This window comes from Homo sapiens, chromosome 12 (genome assembly GCF_000001405.40).
Source record: "Homo sapiens chromosome 12, GRCh38.p14 Primary Assembly".
In the NCBI taxonomy this organism is placed as follows: domain Eukaryota; kingdom Metazoa; phylum Chordata; class Mammalia; order Primates; family Hominidae; genus Homo; species Homo sapiens.
In genome coordinates this window covers 55,467,966-55,471,705 of record NC_000012.12, presented here as the reverse complement: position 1 = coordinate 55,471,705, position 3,740 = coordinate 55,467,966, and the positions used below count along the sequence as shown (strand labels likewise).

At 32.3% G+C, this 3,740-nt stretch overlaps 1 protein-coding gene across 1 annotated transcript; it reads left to right on the top strand.

Moving 5' to 3' along the window:
• Positions 1-1,567: 1,567 nt before the first annotated feature.
• On the top strand, positions 1,568-2,506 carry OR6C70 (olfactory receptor family 6 subfamily C member 70). The gene has a single exon (NM_001005499.1). It carries the CDS (start codon positions 1,568-1,570, stop codon positions 2,504-2,506), a length of 939 nt encoding a protein of 312 aa, NP_001005499.1.
• The last annotated feature ends 1,234 nt before the right edge of the window (positions 2,507-3,740 follow it).

The window sequence follows — 3,740 nt, the reverse complement described above, 5'->3', positions numbered from 1 at the left end:
CTTCTAACTGAGATCAGAATTATTTTACCTTTTTTTTGTAGATGAAAAAACTAAAGTAAGAAAGTTAGTTTTCCCAAGACCATATAACTAATAATAATGGAGAAAATTCCAAATTTTATTAAACTTTTCTAAAAATTTCAAGATCTTTGACTTTAAACTGTTAACTTAGCCATTTTACACTTTCTTATGTCTTATTTTTTTCGTTTGTTTGTGATACTCAGCTTAACATTTAAAAATTAATTATTAAACAATAAAGAAGCTTCCCAAACTTTAACCCTGAGAGTGGATTGCCTTTTTTCTCAGTAGCCATTGATAAGTTATTTCTCAGATCCTTAGCTGGATTTTAAGTCCACTTTCTAATTCCTAGCAGTCTGTCACCTTTGCTTTACTTCTGTACTATTACTCACTTCACTTTTTTCATTGGCAACCTGATACTCTGGGAAACCTACAATAACAAACTTAAAATACCATCAGAATCCTTTTGTCCCATTCAAATGATTACACCCTTCCTACCCCATTATTTCCCTAAATTAATAGTCGTTGGTTACCTGCATGAATAATTGTTGGGGACTCAGATAGTGTGGCAAGAAAGCACTGATTTTTCACTCACAGTATTACATCTAGAAAGTAGGTTTAGACTGTAGGTACCTGTAACTGTAGCGACTTGGAAGAGATGCAATGTTTTATCTGTTTTCTTTCTTACTCCTATGGTCTTGATTACACAAGACAAAATTTTTAAGTCCTAAATAGACTTTTTTTTTGTAAATGTGGCAATATATGCATAATATTAAGTTTTGAGTTTCCTAGATTCAACTAGTATTTATTTTGTTGTGGTATCAACTCATACTTTTTAGGGGCATTTTTCCGTATCTTCATATGTAGTTCATAGAGAAGTTGAAAAAGGCTGTATAGCAGGGCTTTAAACAAATGTCACTTTAATATAATATAATGTAAAGTTTCAAAATTTGACTGTAGGTCTTTTAATTCTTAACAAAAAAGACAGGGTCTCTCTCTGTCACCCAAGCTGGCATCTCCCTATGTTGCTCACGCTGATCTTCAACTCCTGGCCCCAGGCGATCCCCAGTTTGGCCTCCCAAGTGCTGGGATTACAGGCATGAGTCACTGTGCCTTCCCTTAACTTAGGTCTTAATTCATTACACTGGCATCATTTTCTTTAGATGAAATTAATAATTTTAAAATGAATGAACTATTTTTGAATCCTGAACCAAGATCTTTACCTAATTTATTTACAACTTGACAAACCTGGAATTAGTTACAATTAAGTGGAATCTTGAAGTGGAAGCATGAAAAAAACTAGCTTGAAAATCAACTATTAAGGGCTTTGCAAATCAATTTTCCAAAGTGAGATGATGTTTGTTGTACTTTTAAACCCCTAGTTTACAATTTCTGTTGCATAGTTCTATATCATATCTTCAACATCCATGGAGTACTACCTCTTAAATGTATATGTTTGTAAGTGTGGAAACTTTCCTGTATCTTTTCCTGGACCTAGCTCAACCCTTGCACCTTTTTATTCCTAGAATTTGATTGAAATCACAACAGAGAAATGAAGAATCATACAAGGCAGATAGAATTTATTCTTCTGGGACTGACGGATAATTCTCAGTTACAGATTGTAATTTTCTTATTTCTACTTCTAAATTGTGTGTTGAGCATGATAGGGAACTTCACTATCATTGCCCTCATTCTGCTGGATTCCCAGCTCAAGACTCCAATGTATTTCTTCCTCCGTAATTTCTCTTTTCTGGAAATTTCATTCACAACTGCTTGCATTCCCAGATTCCTAATCACCATTGTTACCAGGGAAAAGACCATTTCCTGTAATGGTTGCATATCTCAGTTGTTTTTTTACATATTCTTGGGGGTTACAGAATTTTTCCTTCTAGCTGCTCTGTCCTATGATCGCTATGTTGCCATCTGCAAACCTTTGCGTTATATGTCCATCATGAGTAACAAAGTTTGCTACCAGCTTGTATTCAGTTCTTGGGTAACTGGATTCCTGATCATTTTCACTCCACTGATTTTAGGTCTTAACTTGGATTTCTGTGCTTCAAATATCATTGATCATTTCATTTGTGACATTTCTCTTATCCTACAACTTTCTTGCTCAGACACACATTTACTGGAACTGATTGCCTTTTTATTAGCTGTGATGACACTTATTGTCACATTGTTTTTAGTAATCCTTTCTTACTCTTACATCATCAAGACAATTCTGAAATTCCCTTCAGCTCAGCAAAAGAAGAAAGCCTTTTCCACCTGCTCTTCTCACATGATTGTTGTCTCCATCACTTATGGTAGTTGTATGTTTATCTACATAAAGCCATCAGCGAATGAAAGAGTTGCTTTAAGCAAAGGAGTAACTGTGCTCAATACTTCAGTTGCCCCGTTGTTAAACCCATTTATTTATACTCTGAGGAATCAGCAAGTTAAACAAGCCTTCAAAGCTGTATTTAGAAAGATATTTTCTGCTTCAGACAAGTAATACAACTTGTTGAAATAATTAACATGAAAACATAAAAGGATCTTTGAACAAAACACTAATTTGACTCTTCTAGTTTAAGAATTGATACCCAATATTCAATTATTTGTATGACTTTAGCTTGTCCAACAATCAGAACGTTTTTCATTCTATCCATTCTGACTTTAATTTTCTCTTTTTCAGTATTCAAACCTTTCTGTATTAGAAAGAAAACAATTGCAAAATTGATTTTCTCTAAAAGCATGTTAGAATAAAATAAATGAGTGGTTTTCAGTGATTATAGAATATAAGTTCTTCAAGAGTTTGATCTAAATAATTTATAAAAATTAAAAAATTATTTAAGAAAATTTGCGGGTACATAGTAGGTGTATAAATTTATGGGGTATATGAGATGTTTTGATACAGGCATTCAATGTGAAACAAATGCATCATGGAGAATGGTGTACCCATCCCCTCAAGTACTTATCCTTTGAGTTACAAGCAATCCTATTACATTTTTAAAGTTATTTAAAAATATACAATTTAGTTATTATCGACTGTAGTCTCCCTGTTGTGCTATTAAATAGTAGATCTTATGCTAAGTAATTTAAAGAAATGTACCTTGTTTTAGTTAAATGCCATGTTCTTTAAAAGTCTTAGATAAATCAAATATTGTCATTGTTAAAAAATATATTTAAAATGTTTCAAGAAAGCTTACTCCTTAAAAATAATGTAGAAAATTATTTTGTAAAGTGAACTTTTCGAACTGTCAATTGTCAACACAGAAAAGCGTAATTTCCTTTGAAGGGAATCATACATTTCATGTATGTGATATTTATTATTTATGTTGGACAGATTTTAGAAATTGCAGTAGAGAATAAAATATGGCTTTAATCACAAGCAGTTGATTTCACACACAATGTTTTTCAAGACCATATAAGCAAGTTTAATTTTTGAACATGTCAATTAATGTGTTAAGTAAATGGGAATATATAATGAATTGTATTACCTGTCACATGATTATTAGTTTAACTTTTGCCCAAGTTTCCCACAGTACATTATATTGAATATCAGTGTCTTAAAATTTGAGTGGTTTTAAAAATAATCTTATGTTTCATTTCCTCCAAACCAGAGATATGAAACGTTGGTTTTAAAAATAAGCTTATGTTTCATTTCCTCCAAACCAGGGATATGAAACTATGTGCTTTTCTTTTTTACTCACGTGTGTCAGTTGCTAGAGCACTTAGATATCACACTC

Coding starts and splice junctions, on each gene's coding strand:
- OR6C70 (NM_001005499.1), top strand. CDS start 1,568: ATGAAGAATCATACAAGGCAGATAGAATTTATTCTTCTGGGACTGACG.